Raw genomic sequence first — 22,622 nt, forward strand, 5'->3', positions numbered from 1 at the left:
TCTATAAAGAACTCCCATGAATCAGTAAGGAACAGGCAGAAAACCTAAGACAAAAATGAGAAAAGACTTACTAGGCCTTTGACAAAGAAGGAACATCAATTAGCCAATATACATAGGAGAGACACCAATCATTAACAATCAGGAAATGTTAATGTTAATGTTAATGTTAATCCTCATTAACAATCAGGGAAATGCAAGGCAGAACAGCAATGAAACATAATTAAACAGCCACCAAAACAGTGTAATTTTAGAAGACTGACAATGCCAAGCGTTGGCAAGATTGTAGAACCAGTGAAAACTCAAAATATTGCCAGTGGAAAATTATTTTGGAAAAGTGTTTGGCAACACCTGCTAAGGTTAATTACATGCATAGTCTATGCCCACAACCTTTACTCTAAGATGTACATGCCTCAGATATGTGTGCAAATGTATGCTGAAAATGCGTAACAATGGTTCTATCCAGTTCATTAATAACAACCAGAACAAAAAACAGGGCTGGGCATGGTATCTCATGCCTATAATCCCAGTGCTTTGAGAGGCCAACATGGGAGGATCACTGGAGGCCAGGAGTTCAAGACCAGCCTGGGCAACAAAGTGAAACTCTATCTCTACAAAGAGGTAAATCATTTAAAAAATTGTTAAAAAAAAATGTCCATCAATGGGAAAATGAATAAATAAATTGTGGTACAGTCATTACAATGAACTACATAGCAATCAAAAAGAAAAAGACTACTTCTATCCACAGTGAAATAACATTGAGAGAAAGAAGCTAGACACAAAAGAATATAAACAATATGATTCCATTTATATAAAATAATAGAGCAGCCAAAGCTAGATCATAGTGTTTAGGGAAGTGTACTTGGGTCATAAAATTATCACAAAATGCAACCACAATGACCACAAATGGCAGGAGAGTGGAAACCTTTGAGGAGGAATCAGGAATTATTTATTGGAATGGGTACAAGAGGGGATTCGGGATCCCGATGGTATTCTATTTCTTGACTGAAGTGGCAGTTGCAAGAATTTACACTTTATGATAAATCATCTAGCTATTCCATTTTTTTCATGTTTTCCACTGCATGTATGTTATATTTCAAACTAAAAGTCATTTTGAAAAGTGAGAACTAGGCCAGATGCTATGGCTTATACCTGTAATCCCAACACTTTGGGAGGCCAGAGCGGAATGATTGTTTGAGGCCAGGAGTTTGAGACCAGCTTGAGCAACATACTGAGAATCCCCATCTCAACAAAAAAATTTAAAAATTAAGGCCAGTCGCAGTGGCTCATGCCTGCAATCCCAGCACTTTGGGAGGCCGAGGTGGGTGGATTACTTGAGGTCAGGAGTTCAAGACCAGCCTGGGCAAGATGGTGAAACCCCGTTCCTACTAAAATACAAAAAAAAAAAAAAAAAAAAAAGCCAGGCATGGTGGTGTATGTCTGTAATCCCAGCTACTTGGGAGGCTGAGGCAAGAGAATTGCCTGAACCCGGGAGGTGGAGGTTGCAGTGAGGCGAGATAGCGCCACTACACTCCAGCCTGGGTAACAGAGCAAGACCTCATCTCGAAAAAAAAAAAAATTTTTTTTAAAGTAGCCTTGTGTGGTGGTGCATGCCTATAATCCTAGCTACTTAGGAGGTTGAGATGGAGGATCACTTGAGCCCAGGAGTTTGAGGTTGCAGTGAGCCATACTGCACTCTAGCCTGGATAACAATGTGAAAGCTTGTCTCTAAATAAATAAATAAACTCTTGTTGAAGATTTTAGTTTTCCTTGAAGTGAAATGGGCAAGCCTGGCCAGGCATGGTGACTCACGCCTGTAATCCCAGCACTTTGGGAGGATGAGCCAGGTGATAACTTGAGGCCAGGGTACGAGATCAGCCTGGTCAGCATGGTGAAACCCCGTCTCTACTGAAAATATAAAAATTAGCCTGGAGGCCGGGCACTGTGGCTCACGCCTGTAATCTCAGCACTTTGGGAGGCTGAGGTGGGTGGATCACCTGAGGTTAGGAGTTCGAGACCAGCCTGGCCAACATGGTGAAACCACGTCTCTACTAAAAATACAAAGAATTAGCCAGATGTGGTGGCACACACCTGTAATCCCAGCTACGTGGGAGGCTGAGACAGGAGAATAACCTGAACCCAGAAGGTAGAGGTTGCAATGAGCCAAGATGGCACCATTGCACTCCAGCCTGGGCAACAAGAGTGAAACTCCATCTCAACAACAACAACAAAATATCCTGGCATGATGGCACATGTCTGTAATCCCAGCTACTCGGGAGGCTGAGGCAGGAGAATAGCTTGAACCTGGGAAGCGGAGGTGGCAATGAGCCGAGATTGCACCACTGCACTCCAGCCTGGGTGACAGAGCAAGACTCTGTCTCAAAATTAAAAAATAAATAAATAAATAAAATAAATGGTTTTGCAGGGTTCTGATCTGACAAACACATTAACAGCTCTGGCTCCAGCACTGACAACAGACTGAAACAGAGAAAAGACATAAACCAAGAAACCAGTTAAGAGGCTACTGGAACGATCCAGGGAAGAGATTACAATGTCATCTCTTTCGCGGGACCAGAGTGGTAGCGATAGAAGTGGTAAGAAGTAGATGGATCAGGCAGGGCGCGGTGGCTCACGCCTGTAATCCCAGCACTTTGGGAGGCCAAGGTGGGCGGATCACGAGGTCAGGAGATCGAGACCATCCTGGCTAACACGGTGAAACCCTATCTCTACTAAAAACACACACAAAAAAATTAGGCGGGCACGGTGGCGGGCACCTGTAGTCCCAGCTACTTGGGAGGCTGAGGCAGGAGAATGGCATAAACCCGGGAGGCAGAGCTTGCAGTGAGCCGAGATAGCACCACTGCAGTCTGGCCTGGGCAAAAGAGCGAGACTCCGTCTCAAAAAAAAAAGAACTAGCTGGATCAAAGTACTTACTCCTCTTTGTCACAATGACCAATCCAGAAAATAGTACATGTACCAAGTCAAGATAATCAGGAAATTCTGTCTGAAATATTGGGAAAGAGATTTGTCCCTTTTTTCTGGGGTGTCAGCCATGAACGCTCTGCAAACCTGGAGTTAGCAGTGGTCACCTTGGTGAAATGGTGGAGAAAAGAGATTGAAAATGAAGCCAAAACAGCAGGAAGCAGAGCCCAAGGAGAGAGTGGAAAAAGAAATCTATGCTACAAAATACTCAATCCCACAAATTTTCAAAGATGTATATTTGAGGGCAGGGCAGGAACCTCATTCCTGTAATCCCAGCACTTTGGGAGGCCGAGGTGGGCGGATCACCTGAGGTCAGGAGTTCAAGACCAGCCTGGTCAACATGGTGAAACCCCATCTCTACTAAAACTACAAAAAAATTAGCCAGGCATGGTGGCGCAGGCCTATAATCCTACTCAGGAGGCTGAGGCAGGAGAATCGCTTGAACCTGGGAGGTGGAGGTTGCAGTGAGCCGAGATCACGCACTGCACTCCAGCCTGGGGCACAAGAGTGAAACTCCATCTCAAAAAAAAAAAAAAAAAAAAGAGGGCCGGGCACAGTGCCTCACACCTGTAATCCCAGTACTTTGGGAGGCCGAGGCGGGTAGATCACAAGGTCAGGAGATCATGACCATCCTGGCTAACATGGTGAAACCCCATCTCTACAAAAAAAATACAAAAAATTAGCCAGGTGCGGTGGTGGGCCCCTGTAGTCCCAGCTACTCAAGAGGCTGAGGCGGGAGAATGGTGTGAACCTGGGAGGTGGAGCTTGCAGTGAGCTGAGATCGCGCCACTGCACTCCAGCCTGGGTGACAGAGTGAGACTCCATCTCAAAAAAAATTAAAATTAAATAAATTTTTAAAAAGATGTACATTTGAATATGTCTTGTGAAATTTCAGAATTTCAAAGTATACAGAGAATTCTAAAAGTTTCTCTAAAGAAACAAGAACATTGTTAGATTTCTCATGCAAGTTGAGCTGCTGAAGGACATGGGGGCAATATCTTTGAAGTTCTGAGTGAAAATAAATTTGTACATAAAGTTCTGTATCCAACCAAACATACAATCAAGTGTGAGTGCAAAATAAACACATTTTAGACATGTTTGTTTATTCCTTATGTGCCCTACGTGAAAACATTGCTTGGTAAAATAATAAACTGACAAAGACATTTAAAAAGAAAAACATGAGATAGAAGAAGGAAAAGAACATGAGATTAAGATTCAGGGAAAGATGAGCATATAATTAAAAAAAGATGTACACATAAAATACAATCTACTGAAACTGTGCAAGTATAGTTTCCTATTCCTAGCTTGATATCCCTTGAATTGATTTTGCAATCAATCCTCACACATTTGCAGTTACATTTAATTTCAAGTAATGATTTTGTTGGGGAAAAAAGAAAGTACCATTAATATAATTCCTTCTTCATAATCCTTTTTCACTTATTCTCACCTAAAGTCAGAAAGTAAAAAATGTGAAGTTAATTTTAAAATATTAAAATAACTCAATTACCTGGTAGAACAGAAGGAATTGTAAGTGTGACTGATTTAGAAAGGAAGGGTGTTGTATAGAGATACTGGATGTGATAACTTTGCAGCACATACCATCAGACAAGAAATTGTTAGTGTACTCTATGTCTAGTTCTCCTCTTCTCCCTCGGCCCCCAGGAAGACCTCCCAGACCCATGCAGTTAGGAGAGGCCGTGTGAGTTGTTCTGACCAATGGGGACTGGGCAGAGGTGATGTCATCACTTTGTGTCTGGAGAAGAGTATGAGTGCCCCACACCCTCCTTCTGTGTCATGACCAACTCTGAAGCCACCTATTGACATGGTGGTGTTGCAGGATGGTGGAGCTTTCATCAGCCTGAATCCCTGAGTGACTTTGTGGAGTAGAGGATCTCTCCCCTCCTGACGACCAGCACTGAACATACAGTGTGGGTAAGAAATCAGAGTTATAGCCAGGCACAGTGGCTCACGCCTATAATTCCAGCACTTTGGGAGGCCGAGGCGGGTGGACCACAAGGTCAGGAGATCAAGACCATCCTGGCCAACATAGTGAAACCCCGTCTCTACTAAAAATACAAAAATTAGCCAGGTTTGGTGGTGTGCACCTGTAGTCCCAGCTACTCGGGAGACTGAGGCAAAATAATCTCTTGAACCCAGGAGGCAGAGGTTGCAGTGAGCCGAGATCACGCCACTGCACTCCAGCCTGGGTGATAGAGTGAGACTCCGACTCAAAAAAAAAGAAATCAGAGAATCAGAGTTACTCGAGAGTTAATTTCAGCATAACACCGTCTAGTCTAATAAGAGCTCCTGTGCCTCATTAAGTATTAACAAAAGTCTTTTCTATATTTCTTCAAGCTCTATTTAAATTTTTTCTGTGTAAACTAACATATACCCAAGATAGGTAGTTGCCTTTTTTAACAATTTGGCTGGAAGGTAATTTTATTAGGAAAGACATTGGTATCTCTACTGAGGATAATAAACTCAGGGAAAATGAAAATGGCAACAGGAAACCTTTCACTTGCTGAGAAAACTTGTTCTTTTCTTTTCCCTTTTCCTCACTGTCTACATATAATAAATGCAGAAAATTTTCTGAGGAAATGCCCTATTCATTGTGGAAATAATCTCAAAAGATTTAGAGATTTTCAGTTAGTACCTCATCATTCTTGAAATTGGATTCTATTTTTTAGAAAGCTATACCCATATTTTTGAGCTAAAATTTAAAAAAAGCAAAAATATTATTAACCAGGAAAACAATAGCTCAAATGTTAACCTGCCCTCTCAATAATCTGAAAAACAGATTCTGTTTTCAAGGAATAATCTCCATATAAGTATTCTTTCAGCTAGTTCCTTTTTTGTAATCTAGTTGTCCACATTCTTGTTCACATTGTTATATTTTGCACACATATGCACAAAAATTATGAGCCTTCAAGAAGAAAATATATGTGGTCATCTATTTCTTCACTGCCAGCATACAAGTTTTTAACACAGAGTTTATTTTAAAATAAGGCAAGAAACCCTTGGAGTCTGAGTTGTTTCTTTATTAGAGGTGTGAGACCTGGCCCCACACGTTTCTGTACTGGAAAAAGTCCATTGACACCTTGAATCACTTGGTAACATAAATCAAAATTAAGCAGTTCTTAGAACATAAGTTTCATAGGCCATAGCAAGTAAAAAATAGTAAGAAAAATATAACCTGATGTTCAAATGCATTCACATAAAACTTCACAATATTTACTGCCCAGCAGGAATATGTCAAAATAATTAGACAAGCATTCTGTGCTTAAGAAATCTGTGGAGAGCTCAAAATAATTATGGGGCCAAGAATGTAGGCACATGTGAATGAAAACTAAATATGAACTGTTTGCTCCCACTACACACCCTTGAACCAAGAACTATGTCTGTCACACACCAGGGCCTGTCTGGGGGTGGGGGGTGGCAAGGGGAGGGAGAGCATTAGGACAAATACCTAATGCATGTGGGGCTTAAAACCTAGATGACGGGTTGATAGATGCAGCAAACCACCATGGAACATGTATACCTATGTAACAAACCTGCATGTTCTGCACGTGTATCCCAGAACTTAAAGTAAAATAAAAACTTTTTAAAAAGAACTATGTCTATAACATATTAGAGTGACTAGATAAACAAGATTCCTTTAGTATTGCTTAATGACAGGAGTAAAAGACGAAAATTGTTAACATGCTTTTGCATCAAGATGGAGGACATTTTATTATCTTAGTAGCTGGTTCAAGACTTTCTCTTATGTAAACATTTGACTTTGCTAGAAAAATATCATAATAAGCCCCTTTGTCATAAAATCTGAAATCCAGCAGTGTTTGGATGTGTGTAGAAAGACCTGCAATGAGGCAGGGAGGGGAAGAAGAGAGGTGGAGGCTGTAAAATGGGGAATGGGGAGAGCAGTGTGATGGAAGAAATGACACCACAATGTCAGTTTCAGTAGAAAGCGGTGAAGAGTCTGAACTTTGCCTTCATGTTAGCATCAGGTGGAACCGAGGCAGTACACAAGGACATCTGAAAAAACAAGTTGCTGGGAATAAAGGCCAGGGCCGATGACAAGATCATTCATCACCACGTGATATTGTTTGGCCCCGTGTCCCCACCCAAATCTCATGTTGAATTATGATCTTCAGTGTTGAAGGAGGGGCCTGGTGGGAGGTGACTGGATCACGGGGGTGGATTTCCCCTTGTTCTCATGACAGTGAGTGAGTTCTCAAGAAATCTGGTTGTTTAAAAGTGTATAACAGATTGCTCGAGCTCAGGAGTTTGAGGTCAGTCTGGGCAACATAGCAAAGCCCCCTTTCTTTTTTTTAAAATTAAAAAATAAAAATAAATAAAATATTAAAAGTGTGTAGCACTTTGCCCTTCTCTCCCTCTCTCTCTCTCTCTCTCTCTCTCTCTTGCTCTGCTATGTGAAGATTGTGCCTATTTCCCCTTCACCTTCCACCATGACTGTAAGTTTCCTGACACCTCTCCAGCCATGCTTCCTGTACAGCCTGTGGAACTATGGGCCAATTAAACCTCCTTTCTTTATAAATTTCTCAGTCTCAGGTAGTTCTTTATAGCAGTGTGGGAATGGACTAATACACCATCATAACTAATATTTATTAAGTGCTTAACAATGCACCAGATATTGTTCTAAGAGCTATATTCATATTAACTCATTAAATCCTTACACCAGCTATGGGTGCTATTACTGTCTCCATTTAACAGATGAGGAAAGCGAAGTGCATAAAGGTTAAGCAGTTTGCCCAAGGTCATACAGATTGGTGTGTATTTGTGTCAGAGATAAGATTCAAACCCCAGCCCTCTGAGCTCAGAGCCTCCCCTTTGTACCATTGTGCTATCTCTTATTTTATTACAAGAGACTATAAAGTTCATCGAATTCAGTCTTCCAACAAACACAGCTTCTTATAACAAGCCATGCTCTTACTAGATGCCCACTGTGATGGGGAGGTCCCTAATCTGAGAGCCAGAAGTGTTATACTAGAAAACATACTTGACAACTTTTGAAGATAGTAAAATCACCCACTTTTGTCAATACCTTAGGGTAACCAGTTCTGCATATCATCAATGAAAAATATGAATATAAAAAGCATCACTTAAAATTCCTCAACAAAACATCAAATTTTATGGTAAATAAAGCATTCTTTACTGCAGAAGACAATGCAGACATCTTACTGCCTGACTCATCAGTAAATGCGTATCTTTTATATACATGTTGAAACAATAGAATTTATGTCTTAGAAGACGTCTATACAGCTAAGGTATGCACCAAAGCTAATTTGTATGTCCATGAGTTGGACAACCAGGACAACGGGTTTTAATAACTACAGAAAAAGAAAGAGAAGGGCAATGGTCACCAAAAAGCACAATGGTGACTAATGAGTTATGACTAACAGTGTTTCAAAGACAGTTGTAACATAATTGGAAATGGTAGAAACTACATACTGAGGACAATAGTGATTATTGTCTGGGTCATAGAAAATAATAGCATTTAAGTTAATACGCTAATACTTTCTGAAAAATTACCAGGATTTCAGTTATATCTATACAGTCACAGAAAGATGTGTCCTTAATAGATAACTGTGGGCGGCCGGGCGCGGTGGCTCACGCCTGTAATCCCAGCACTTTGGGAGGCCGAGGCGGGCAGATCACGAGGTCAGGAGATCGAGACCATCCTGGCCAACATGGTGAAACCCCTTCTCTACTAAAACTACAAAAAATTAACCCGGTGTGGCGGCAGGCGCTTGTAGTCCGAGCTACCAGGGAGCCTGAGGCAGGGGAATCGCTTGAACCCAGGAGACCGAGGTTGCAGTGAGCCGAGATCGTGCCACCGCACTCCAGCCTGGAGACAGAGCAAGACTCTGTCTAAAAAACAAAAAAAACAAAAAAAAAAAAAAAAAAAAAAAAAAAAACTGTAAAAAGAATGCTTCCTTTGAATTCCCCAGCAAGTTTAAAGTTGTGTTTCATCTTTGGAAAAAAATGAATTAAGGCTTAGTACAATGGCTCACGCCTATAATCCTAGTTCTTTGGGAGGCCGAGGCAAGAAGATCACTTGAGGCCAGGAGTGAGAGATCAGCTTGGGCAACATAACGAGACCCCCTCTTTACAAAAAATTTTAAAAATTAGCTGGGCATGGTGGCATACTTGGGAGGCTGAGGTGAGAGAATCACCTGAGCCTGGGAGGTCAAGGCTGCAGTGAGCCACGATCATGCCACTACACTCCAGTCTGGGGGACAAAGTGAGACACTGTCTCAAAAACAAACAAACAAACAAGAGTTAAACCAAATAAAAGATGTATACCTCAGTGAGGAGCTAAGACATATAATTCTTTTAAAATCATTTTATAATAGAAAATCAGAGTAATAATGAGAAGAATTACACAGGTATTCAACTCCAGTCTTTCCTAGATCATTAGGAGTAAACTTATAAACTTTAGAGGTGGGGACATCTTCAGATTGTTTTACTCTTCTACTATAATTATTAAATATAAATATTTAATTGTTATTATTAGTAAATTTAAATCAGTAAGTACTCCATTTCTAGAGCATTCAGTTTATACTTGGGCATCTAAACATGCAATTGCTTGTAAAATAGACTCTTCACATAATTATAGTTATAAAGTACTTTGATAGTCGTGGTATATTCCTTACTCTTAGAGAAGCAAAAAAAAAATCAACCCATAAATAAATAAATAAATAAATTACTTAATTCTCCCACTGAAAAATAATCTTCGGAGGACCAAAGATAGTCAGTAATGCTATCAACTTCCCTCTGCATAAATCCTAGACTAGGGATAAACATACCTAGGCTACACTAATTTGATTCACAAACTAGAATAACAAAGTGAAACTCAAGCTTTTCAAGTCATAAATATCACTAAAGAGAAAGAATTCGTTGCAAAGAATTTTCAATTACATACCAAAAAGTTATGAATTTTCTTGGTCCAGTTCTGTTGCCTTTGACCTTTATGGAAAAAAAAAAAAAAAAAAGAGAGAGAGAGGAAAAAAAAGTGAGTCATGAGATTTCTGCCTGGACTCAATCACCTGGGTTAAAATCAGAATCCCACCACATCAACCCCAAGAATAAGCAACAGAACAGTAAGTTGATCATCGTGATAATGTTAGGGTAGACAGCTAGGCAAACACAAACAGTTCAGGAAAGTCCCACCACCACCACCACCCAGGAATGTCAGGCAATGTTAAACCACCAGGGGATGGTCAGGTAGTTGTTAAACTGGCTCTCTAAAATAATAATTGGTGGCAGCTGGTGCCAGGGACAGGCAGTCTCCCATTAGATAAGTAACACTTGAAGCTGGTGATCAGCAGCTTCCTGATAAGATCTCAGGAGATGGCGAATGGGCCCAAGTATGTGTACTAAAGGGCAAAATGGCAGAGTTTAGCATATGACCTCCCTCTGGGAACACTCGACTGGTAAGGGAAAAATGCCTCAAGTGAGCATGCATGCAACTTCAGCAAACACACTGAGCATGCTCCCCTCCCAACGTCTGGCAGGCCATTGCACATGCGGAAAGCCCACCCCAAGGGAAGAATCAGGGTAGGAGAGACAGAAACCCCTGTACCATGCTGATGTATAAAACCCCAAGTCAAAGATCAAACAGGGTACTTGGATCTCTCAAGTTGTCCGCTTGGCACTTTTCCAAGTGTACTTTACTTCCTTTTGTTCTTGCTCTAAAACTTTTTAATAAGCTCTCACTCCTCAAAAACTTGCCTCAGTCTCTCACTCTAAGTCATGCCCCTCAATTGAATTCTTTCCTTCGAGGAGGCAAGAATCAAGTTGGTGCAGACCTGCACAGATTCACCTCTGCTAACAATAACTTCCCACTGTCTCTCTCAAAATATGAAAACAAAAGTTTTCTCTCATAGGAAAGAAGATCTGGGTAGCAAATTATCAAAAAATCATTAAACTGAGATCCTCAACATTTAATTTTTTCTAAAGAGGACAGTAAAAATAATGTTTTATCCTTTTGAACACACCCCATGATACATTTTTACTTCACTTTTAAATACCACGAAAGATGTGCACATAGATTGAGAACTTCTATCTATTTTCCTGGAATTTTTCCAGTAGGAATATATTGCCTTTTTTTTTTTTTTGAGACAGAGTCTCACTCTGTGGCCCAGGCTGGAATGCAGTGGCACACACAATCTCAGCTCACTGCAACCTCCGCCTCCCAGGTTCAAGTGATTCTCCTGCCCCAGCCTCCTGAGTAGCTGGGATTACAGGCACCTGCCACCACGCCTGGCTAATTTTTGTATTTTTAGTAGAGACAGGGTTTTGCCATGTTGGTCAGGCTGGTCTTGAACTCCTGACCTCGTGATCCACCCGTCTCGGCCTCCCAAAGTGCTGGGATTACAGGCATGAGCCACTGCACCCAGCCCAGTGGGAATATATTTCAAATTAGTAACAATAATTCTATTCATTGCCTAAAAGCATACATTTATAAAAACACAGATTTTTATTTTTTAAAATCTATATATTTGCATCTCACAGAAAAATAAAATTGTAGGAAAACATGTTCTGCAAAGGACATATTTCAAGATCTGTATTTTAATAACTCAATCTACTTGAGTACTTGGATTTTTTTCTTTTTAAATTTTTTTTCCAAAATTTTATTTTGAAAATGTTTAAAACTATAGAAAGCTTGTAGGAATAGGTAGCAATGAACACCTAGATGGCCTTCACCTTGATTCCCAAATTATGACACTTTTCCACATTTGCTTTATCTCTCTGCATATCTAAATATTTTGCTGAACCATTTGAGTCACTTGTAGACATAAAGATGGTTCACCCCTATATACTTCAGCATGTACCTCCTAAGAGCAATGATCCCACTATAGTTATTAATAATGATCACACTCAGGAAAGGTTTTTTTTTTTTTTTTTTTTTTGAGATGGAGTCTCGCACTCTCGTCCAGGCTGGAGAGCCGTGGCACAATCTCGGCTCACTGCAAGCTCCGCCTCCTGGGTTCACGCCATTCTCCTGCCTCAGCCTCCCAAGTAGCTGGGACTACAGGTGCCCACCACCACGCCCGGCTAATTTTTGTGTTTTTAGTAGAGACGGGGTTTCACCGTGTTAGCCAGGGTGGTCTGGATCTCCTGACCTCGTGATCCACCCGCCTCGGCCTCCCAAAGTGCTGGGATTACAGGCTTGAGCCATCGCGCCTGGCCACACTCAGGAAATTTTAAATTGACAAAATGCAATCACTATACAGTCCAAATGTTCCAATTGTATCACTGATGTCTGTTTCAGTGTGGAAGATTTGTTATATTTTATTTTAAATCCTGGATTTAATCAGGGATCACCAAGGCATGTCTACGGTCTCCTTTTACCTTTCAGGACATGTTTTTGTAGAGTCCAGGCCAGTTGCTTTGCCTAACACCCCTCAATATGGATTTGACTGACTGTTCCTTCACAACTAAGTTAAACATTTTTGGCAGAGGTACTCACAGGTTGGAATGCTTTCCTTCTTTGTATACATTAGGAAAACCACATAACAGGTTGGATTAATATTTTCTTTCAATCACTTAGTAACACTTAGTGATTGCCTCATATAAACTAAATTTAGTGTCACAGTTTGCAATTTACAAAATGCTTTGATATGGATTAATTTATGAAATTTGCGCTACAATCGCATGAGGTAGGTTTTTTATTTTGGTCATCTTTCCTCTTTTGAATAGAATTTTATCCAAGTTCATACAACCAGCAAGTCTAGCTCAGTGGCCAAAATTTAAGTATAGAATTACCGTAAAAATCACCCTAGAGTAAGAAACTCTATTTTCAGGTCAAATAAATCTAGATCCCTTTTTCTCTTTTGTAACCTGTACTCCCTGTTGTCCAAACTCTTTGCCTTACAGTTCTTATTTTGTTGTGTTAAACTACAAGGTAGTGAGGTATCATGATTTATCTAAACATTTTTTCAACCATAATTATTTCAAATTATAAGAGTTAAACCAGAAACAGTGGAAAAAATGGGTATTAACTTAAAAGTGGGCGATATGTTAAAATAAATGAGTATTAGCTGTATTGAGTAAGCTAACACTCAAAGTGATTGGCTTTTCTTCATGTTTTTGCCTTTGCTTTGGTGCAACTAATGATATACCAGCTCTTTCTTTCTCCCCAGAACAAGATCTTATGTCACTTCCTCCTACATTCCAAAGCAATGAAAACAGTATTTCCTGAAGGAGTCATCTGTATGTTTACAAAAACTTTCCAGCATATTAAATTAGGTAGTTTTTCTTATTTACTTTTTGCCGTGGGGGCCTCACAATCGCAGTGCTGTTTAGTTAAGAATCAAGTCAAGAAAAGTTTGGGAATCGGTGTATGTAACTTGAGTCACAACTTATAACATGAATCTCTAAATAGACATTCCAGCCAGAAAGAGAAACAAACAGGTTTCCCAACCTATAGGTCAAGGGTACTGAAGCTGGCAAAAGCCAGACAAGGTTTAGAGTGATACTGAAATCTAAAAAGCAATACAACCCAAGTCCAGGTCAGCGCAACTGCAGATGCTTATCTGGGTGGCATCAGACTCAGATGTACCATCTCAATCACTTTCAGTATAGAAAGATCTTCAAGAAAATAGGCTGCAATTGTCCACTGACAAAAACCACTTTACTAAGCCTCAAGCTAAGATAACAGATCAAGATCCATTTACTGCTTCATCCATGCACCATTTCTCTAACATTCAGTGATCTGAATATCTCACTTCAAAGCAAAAGAGCAATTAGAGCCATTTAAAATGTCTGAATAATGAGTGTGATATTATTGTTACTGTCCAGTGTTCAATTTCATAAAGAAGCAGGAACAGACTCCTGAAAAATACCCGGAGAAAAAAATGAACTATCTTTTCCACTTCCACAGAGCTCTTCGAGCATTACATGACTTTCTTTTGAATTGGCATATTATGCACCCCCTAAAAGAAAACTCTCTACTTTAATCCCAAGAAAAGCATTATTCTTATTCTTCATTTGAATTATTTTTTAGGCCAAATACAGTAAAGGAAGTTGCACTGATGATTGTGCTTAAATATATAAATTGGGGCAAGACAGGGAGCAGCAAGAAATGTTTCAACTGTGAAGTCTTTAATAGAACATGTATCATTCATTTTTCCCCACTAATCCTCAACAGACTCCTATTATCTTCAGATAATAAGAGAGGCTGCCTGCCATTAATTTAATCACTGTAATTTCCTAAGAAATAAAGACTGATGTCTATTGAAAATTATTCCAATTATGTCTTTGAACATGAGTTCAAAACTGGTAAAATTACCACTTTCAATAATATATTAACCTCCTAATTGTTATTAGTTATTCTCACAATCCTCTTAAAGCAAAGAATGACATTGGGGCCCAATTCTTTTATTCAACTTTGAGACACAATTATTTTTAAAACTTTGCTCAAGTTCAACCCACTTCAGGTGTAATCTAACCCTTTAAAATACATCCTAAGAAGCAATTTATCTGCTTAAAAACAAAAACTGGGCCGAATCCTTTTTATTATATCATGTAAAATCAAACTATGTAACCACTTGAAAATAAGTAGAAGTAGGTAAAAGTAAGGAAATCTCACAGAAACACCAATGATAAAAGTACTGGAGGCTGGATGCAATAGGTTATGCCTATAATCCCAGCACTTTAGGAGGTCAAGGCTGGAGGATTGTTTGACCCCAGTGAGACAGCCAAGTATAAAGGGGTTTCCCGAGAACCTTCGACTGGCCTGTGCACAGGGAGGTGTGTGCACTGTGGTGCAGCCATGAATTTCACACCATTTGCAGAGCGGAGGATTCTGGCTTCCCCTGTTCTGGGGTGGTAACTGGGAATTCAACCTATGAGGCAGGAAGCCTACCAGCAGAACTCTCACTTTGCTGAGAGTCCCTGTTTCCCTTTTTATTTCCTTTTTGCCCAATAAACCCTGCCCTTCTCACCCTTCAAAGTGTCTGCGAGCCTAATCTTTCATGGTTGTGTGACAAGAACCTGGCTTTTAGCTGAACTAAGGAGAAAGTCCTACACCACCAGGAGTTCAAGATCACCCTGGACAACAGAGTGAAACCCCATCTCTTTTAAAAAATAAAATATAAAAATTATTTTTTAAAAAAAGTACTTGGCCGGGCGTGGTAACTCATGCCTGTAATCCCAGCACTTTGGGAGGCCAAGGCGGGCACATTATGAGGTCAGGAGATCGAGACCAGCCTGGCTAACACGGTGAAAGCCCGTCTCTACTAAAAATACAAAAAATTAGTCGGGTGTGGTGGCGGTCCCCTGTGGTCCCAGCTACTCGGGAAGCTGAGGCGGAAGAATGGCGTGAAACCAGGAGGCGGGGATTGCAGTGAGCTGAGATTGCGCCACTGCACTCCAGCCTGGGCGACAGAGTGAGACACCATCTCAAAAAAAAAAATACTAATAGCCAACATTTATTAAGCTCTGATTATTTAATTTGTACAGTCATGTGCTAGATGCTGCTCATGCATTAAGTATTCATTTTCACAGCAACCCCGTGAAGGTGGTGCTGTTCTTACAAATGAAGACCACTGCCCTGGCATCTGCCGCTGTGGCTGCTGTTGACTGCTCTGTTGGCAGCTGCCACTCCATTGCTCACGGGTGGCTGCCGTGCTGCCCCCAACCTCCTCTGGACACCCCCATCTCACCGCACCCCACCACCAACACACACACACACCTCTTTCTGCTCATTGATGAGGACTTTCCATAGTGGCACACACTTTGCTGTGAGCATTGCTTGGGGAACAGAGAGCACAGGGGGTCTAGGTCAGCGACGCCTGCACAAGGATCTGCTGCCTCTTCCCACACTGCTAGACTTCTTGGCTCATCTTGGCTTTTGCCAGCAGCCCCATGGCTCTCCCTCCAGTCCAGCCTTTTGTGGATCTGAGTCCATCAGCTAAGTCTGTACATGTCTAAGCTAAAACTGCAGAGAAATTTAGCCTCTCTTGCCCAGGGCTTTGGGACTCTTGCAATACTCCTGGTCATGCCTCTGTCCTGAACTGTCTGGAGCTCTCTGACAGCCAGGAGGTGACTGCCTGTCACACACATGTGCACACGCACACACACACACACACACACATGCGTACACACACACACACACGCACACACACACACACACACACACACTCTTAGCAGTTGGCTGGCCGCCATCTAATGTAGCAGGTCATGTTAGCACACTGTCTTCCCTGACACTGTTCAAAATATTAGTCCCAAATTATTAGCTATATGAAGGAGCTGACAGCTACTACTCTCAAACTTCTCAGTGTTCTGAGTCTAAATATGCTGTGGGCTCTGTGCATACATTTCATGAGGATAAAGGAAGCACAGGGAGATAGGGAAGAAAGGAACAAAACAGGAATGAAGGGAAAGGAGCCCTTTTGGGCAAGCAGATTCCAAGGGGTGCTCTTGTTGGGTTTTGACCACCCAGAGGGCACCAAGAGGACAGGAACACCAGAGGCAGGGGAAGAGCTGCTATAAGAAGAGGATGTAAAGAAGACAAGGGAGTGTGAAACACAAAAGTCACTTCTCGGATCCACCGTTGCCTTCTCTGCTTCTCCTAGAGGCCAGCGCCACATCTTTTCACCTGTTTAGCCCACCCTCAACTCCACCGCATGCCCTAGAAACTCCCAGGCTAGAGATTCATTTTTGGCAACTACCAACACCCAGGAAAAACTCTGTCTGTATCTCTCCTTGACCAAAACGTATGTACCACCTAAAATGTTGTTAAAATGAATATCGGCCGGGCGTGGTGGCTCACGCCTGTAATCCCAGCACTTTGGGAGGCCGAGGAGGGCAGATCACGAGGTCAGGAGATCAAGACCATCCTGGCTAACACAGTGAAACCCCATCTCTACTAAAAATACAAAAAATTAGCCAGGCATGGTGGCGGGCGCCTGTAGTCCCAACTACTCGGGAGGCTGAGGCAGGAGAATGGCGTGAACCCAGGAGGCGGAGTTTGCAGTGAGCGGAGATCACCCCACTGCACTCCAGCCTGGGCGACAGAGAGAGACTCCGTCTCAAAAAAAAAAAAAAAGAAAAAAAAAGAGAATATCATCCTCAACGGTTTTGGATAAAAACAGACAAAGAACATTAAAGTGAGAAAGGCTGACAGGGCCCCAGCCACAGTGGAAGTCAGGAGGATTGGATGCAGATCCTAAATGTGCGATATAAGATGACGCTGCTCTCTCTGCTTCCCCACTGGTCCAAAGTCATTACATTTCTTTTTTTCTTTTCTTTTCTCTCTCTCTCTTTTTTTTAAATAGGGTCTCACTCTGTCACCCAGCCTGGCATGATCATGGCTCGCTACAGTTGCAACCTCCCCAGGCTCAGGTGATCCTCCTGCCTCAGCCTCACTGAGTAGCTGGGACTGCAGACACACACCACCACACCTAGCTAATGTTTGTATTTTTTGTAAAGACGGGGTTTCACCATGTTGCCTGGACTGGTCTTGCACTCCTGGGCTCATGCAATCCACCCACCTCAGCCTCCCAAAGTGCTGGGATTACAGATGTGAGCCACCGCGCCCAGCCCAAAGTCATTACCTTTCTAGGTGTTTGGTCCTTCTGGCTTGTAGCAGGTTCCTGACTCAGCACCCCTACCATGAGCATATTTTAAACCCCAGGTTGACGTGCAGGTCTGGCAATGCTATTGGGCAGCCTACATTCAGGGCTCATGGTCACCATGTCCTCACTCTGATTGTGGCTCTGCCAATAACTACAGCATCTATTCCACTTTTTAGAAAACTATGTTGCTTTGACATTTACAAATGCATATTTGCATTGTTGTAAGCTTAAAAATGCAAAAGAAAAAGTTAATAGAGGAAAACAAAAATCACCATCATCCCCAGGTCCACAGGTACCCACTGTGAACTCATTGTGCATTTCCTGTCCACTTTCTTCTATTCATTTTGAAAATTTGTAACATAACAAGGGTCATTCTGTACATACAGTTTTGTGTCTGCAAGGCCTAGTCTTAGAGCTCTGCATGGACGGGGATGACAGCTAATATTTTGGCTGCTTGAGAAGTCACATTTAGATCCTTGCATCACAGTAGAGGCCCTGACATTCCACTAACTTTATTAGGCATGGATGAGATTTTGGACAGCACTCTAATGAGCCGCAGTGCTCTGAAGAGCATTCTTTTCTTATCTCAGCTGTTGAGCGTGAGGTCCCAGGGTGCAGAACAATGTGAAAGTCCACATGAACATTTTCAGTGTTTGAAAACCAGCATATAAAGCACAGAAGTGCTTCTAAGAACAAGGTCAGGAACACTTTTGAGGTTCAATGGGTAGGGTTATCCAAAATAGTTTATTTCATCATTTAGCATTTCTATGTTCTTTTAAATAAAAGCTACATAAATGGCAGAATGCAAAGATTGTTTCAACTAAAAATTCACTGTTAGTTAAAAAAAAATGTCAGATTCAGGATCCTCTGGCTCAATTTCAGAGAACTATAAAAACTTTTTCTAAGAAAACATTTTGAGAACACGTCACAAAATATCTTGTAATAAGCTTTCAGATACACCCCATTTTGATGTAACGATTTCCCAAGTGGTCCCCAAAATGTCTTTGCAGAGTTGGTTCCTAGAGAACCTCTTAATCAAAACTTAAACTAAATGTAAGTCAGCAGTTTCACTTTGACTTTGCAAACATTTCATGAGTCATAGTCAATTATATAATCTCGAATCAAGAGGGCATTGTTATTTGTTCATTGAAGAAACAGACTGTGCCCTGCTAATTCAACTGAAAAATGACTCAAACCCAAAGAAAGCAAAGAAAATGGAGAGCAATCTTCCTTTAAAGAGAGAAGAATGGTTAAGAGTCTCTTCTTTCAGCAGAGAATGAGTAACTCTTATATAGGTTACCAACATTATGGCTGGGCGCAGTGGCTCACACCTGTAATCCCAGCACTTTGGGAGGCTGAGGCGGATGGATCACCTGAGGTCAGGAGATTGAGACCAGCCTGATCAACGTGGTGAAACCCCGTCTCTACTAAAATACAAAATTAGCCAGGCATGGTGGCGCATGCCTGTAATCCCAAGTACTTGGGAAGCTGAGGCAGGAGAATTGCTTGAACCCAGGAGGCGGAGGTTGCAGTAAGCTGAGATAGCCCCATTGCACTCCGACCTGGGCAACAAGAGCGAAACTCCATCTCAAAAAAAAAAAAAAGATTACCAATATTAGCATTGTGCACATGCATACACACATAATCTAAGGAAGAAGAATGCCAATGTTCCTCTTTATCCCAGGATGTTAACCCAAAGAGTTTAGGAAATACTGCTATTTCTTTCACAAATCAGTTGTGAATCATTCATGCCTTAAAATCCTGTTGTCAGTGGTTAGCATCCTAAAGCCCCTCTCGGTCCTCCCATGAGTGCTTTATTAAGCTGGGATAAAGCTACTCCATGCCCAACAATAAGCAAGGCTCTGTGCAGCTGAGAGAAGAGACCAGGGGACAATTGCTGAGAGCCTAGGGGAGGTGGGCGGGTCCACACTTAGCAGTTTCACTTGGGCTGCAGGGCATACTTTCATTCAAAGAAAGAGTCTTTCATGGAATCAACCCAAATGCCCATCAATGACAGACTGGATAAAGAAAATGTGGCACATATATATCATGGAATACTACGCAGTCATAAAAAGGAATGAGATCATGTCCTTTGCAGGGACATAGATGAAGCTGGAAACCATTATCCTTAGCAAACACTGCATGCCCTCACTTATAAGTGGGAGCTGAACGATGAGAAAACATGGACACATGAAGGGGCACAACACACACTGACTAGGGCTTCTAGGGGAGGTGTGGGTACTGAGAACATCGGGAAAAACAGCTAATGCATGCTGGGCTTAATACCTAGGTGATGGGTTGATAGGTGCAGCAAACCACCGTGGCACACATTTACCTATGTAACCAACCTGCACATCCTGCACATGTATCCTGGAACTTAAAACGAAATAAAATAAAAAATTAAAGATGGGTTGATGGATGGATAGAGGGATGGATAAAAGGACTGATAAGCAATAAAGCAAATACCATAAAATGTTTAAAAAAAGAAAAGAAAAAAGAAAGTAGTCTATGACTTAAAAAAAAAAACTTGGAAAACTGTGAATCTATACTCTTCAATTTTGCAAAAATTTAGCAATTCTGTGCCCGAATCATGTATAACATTCATCAGTTGGCATATTACTTTAAAAATGAAACCCCGAAGTGAATGAAGACTTCACCTCACCAGTCATTTTCCAAGCCCCATGCATGGAGGAAGCATTTCTCCCATGACTGCGAACGGTGTTTTGTCTTCCCTCCCAAAAGGAAAGAACAATTACTTTACAACTTCATGAAAGCTGAAATGCAGGCAGACCTCTTTGTGGGTAAAGTCTAAAGCAGATGCAATTTTAGGTTAAACATAGAGTATTATTACTTATTCTGATTCTTCAACTGAGCCTCTGAAAATATTTATTTTCTATTTGTTTAAATGTAGGTATTGAGAGACATGGCTTCCTTTTTTCTTTCTTTGTTAAACAAATGCTCAGATGTGATGGCTCATGCCTGTAATCTCAGAATTTTAGGAAGCTGAGGCAGGAGGATCGCTTCAGGCCAAGAGTTCCAGACCTGCCTGGGCAACATATGATGACCCACGTCTCTACAGAAAAATGTAAAAATTAGCCAGGCATGGTAGCGTGCACTGTAGTACTTAGCTACTTGAGAGGCTGAGGTGGGAGGATCCCTTGAGTTTGGGAGTTTAAGGATACATTGAACTATGATGACAACAGTGCACTCCAGCCTGGGTGACACAGTAAGACCCTGTGTCTAAAAACAACAAAAAAACACTAACAATATCAATAACAACAACAAAAAAAGAAGCAAAGTAGATTTTTCCGCCACCCCCCAAAAAACATAAAGTCCAACACGTAAACACCAGATTCCCCATGGGCTTTGAAGAAACAGACATTTTATGCCCCTTAGCAAATTACTCTTGGATGAAATTGGCAGCACTCTACTTCTTTAGGTAAGTAAATAAAGATTGTTATATTTGAAAACAATGGCTTTTATTGTTATGAACTAGGAGTGGCTTTAATGGAGAAGTTGCCCTGTTACTTGACCACTGAAAAGGAAGAGCTACAGACCAGCTATTCTAAACCCAAAGTAATTATTTTGTTAGACTTAGCTCCACATTTAAGTGGCTTATAATCAATAAATCTATAAAACAAGTTAACTCGGCCACTTACTAAAGCATATTTTACAGTCAATTATCTTGGCACATACACCCAAAAGTTATATTAATCACCCTTAAAATATTACATATATGCTGTATTTAAATTTTAGAGTTGAAATCAACATGTAGTTACACCTGTTTAGATTTTCCAGGTTAAAATCATTGTTGTCGTAGTCTATGGTCTACATGTGTATCCCTGATCCCTCACATTATAGTTTGGACTCAGCTGAGATATGAGGAAGGAATGATGAGGGAAGGGACCAGCATTCTTACGTGGATCGTCATCTCCTGGGGCCATGCACTGGTAGGATCTAGAGGTTTGTGATGTTCCCAAACGGTCATGAGACTCTTGGGCACAAGGGTTGAGGCTATCTGATCCAGGCACCCCATAAACCTTGAAATATTAGCATGGTGTTTTGTTAAATGTGTCTGTGTGTGTACCGTTCTCCAGGCTACGAAAGCACTTGTTTAATCTGCAGCATAGAACAGGCTGCATTCTTATTTAATGCTAGGAACACTTAAATCCAACTGGCTGGTTCTCAATCCGTGTCAAAGGCTCAGTTACAATAAACAGTATTTATATAATATTCTTAAAGGTACACCTATTACTCTATATTCCAGAGTTATTTATTGAGCCCTGGGACTTCGGGGGATCATGATCACTGAAATTGTGTGGATAATTTAACGTGATATGTGCATTTACAGCTTTCATCATAGTCTCAAATTGAACCAGGACATATAAAAAGTAAGAATCACTAATCCACATTTTAAGATTAAGTATCTCAAAGGAGGTAGTACTAATAAGTAAAAATAAATAATACCTTATACTCTCAAAAGGTTAAAAAAATTATACTAAATATTTTAAATCTAGATTCTAATTGAAGGCTTGAAGGCATTTGGAATGGAATAAACAGCGTGGTGCCTGAGATTTACGATGTGTTGGTTATGACATCTATTTGAGCGCTCATGGAGTTTTGCTGATTTGCTGATTCCTTGTTGTGTGCTGGATGTGTGAGTTTATAGATAGACAACTTCCAAATAAATGAGATTCAACTACACTTCATTTTCTGTGGAAACCATCCAGAGAGTTCTCATTGCTCACATTTGTGGATCTATATACCAATGCAAAGAAATGTTTATTCCAGTCTTTATCTGACAGCTAGCTTCTGTTATTGAGTTAAATCTCCTGAATCCAGTAACAGAAACATTTATAGACCTTGACTCCACAAACCACTAGGTTCTGCTGTCAGAAATCTCTGAGTCACGCTCACTTCGAGAGGCAGCAAAACCAAATTTGCCCACTTCCTCTTTCTTGTGTGCTTTATTTGTCTCATTTAGTTGTAACCACATGATATGGTGGGGGGAGTCTGGACACATATGGAAATCCTGCTTCT

The 22,622-nt window shown here is 41.0% G+C and overlaps 1 protein-coding gene across 7 annotated transcripts in view; it reads right to left on the bottom strand.

Annotated features, from left to right (window-relative positions):
• IPCEF1 (interaction protein for cytohesin exchange factors 1) overlaps positions 1-22,622 on the bottom strand; it is a 202,308-nt gene that overhangs the window by 125,295 nt on the left and 54,391 nt on the right. For all 7 annotated transcript variants that reach the window (NM_015553.3, NM_001130700.2, NM_001394799.1 and 4 more), the window contains one exon: positions 9,923-9,966. The gene's annotated coding sequence lies outside the window, so the exon portion shown is untranslated. The remainder of the gene's footprint in view (positions 1-9,922; positions 9,967-22,622) is intronic.

The sequence above is a fragment of the Homo sapiens genome, chromosome 6 (assembly GCF_000001405.40).
Source record: "Homo sapiens chromosome 6, GRCh38.p14 Primary Assembly".
Taxonomy (NCBI): Eukaryota; Metazoa; Chordata; class Mammalia; order Primates; family Hominidae; genus Homo; species Homo sapiens.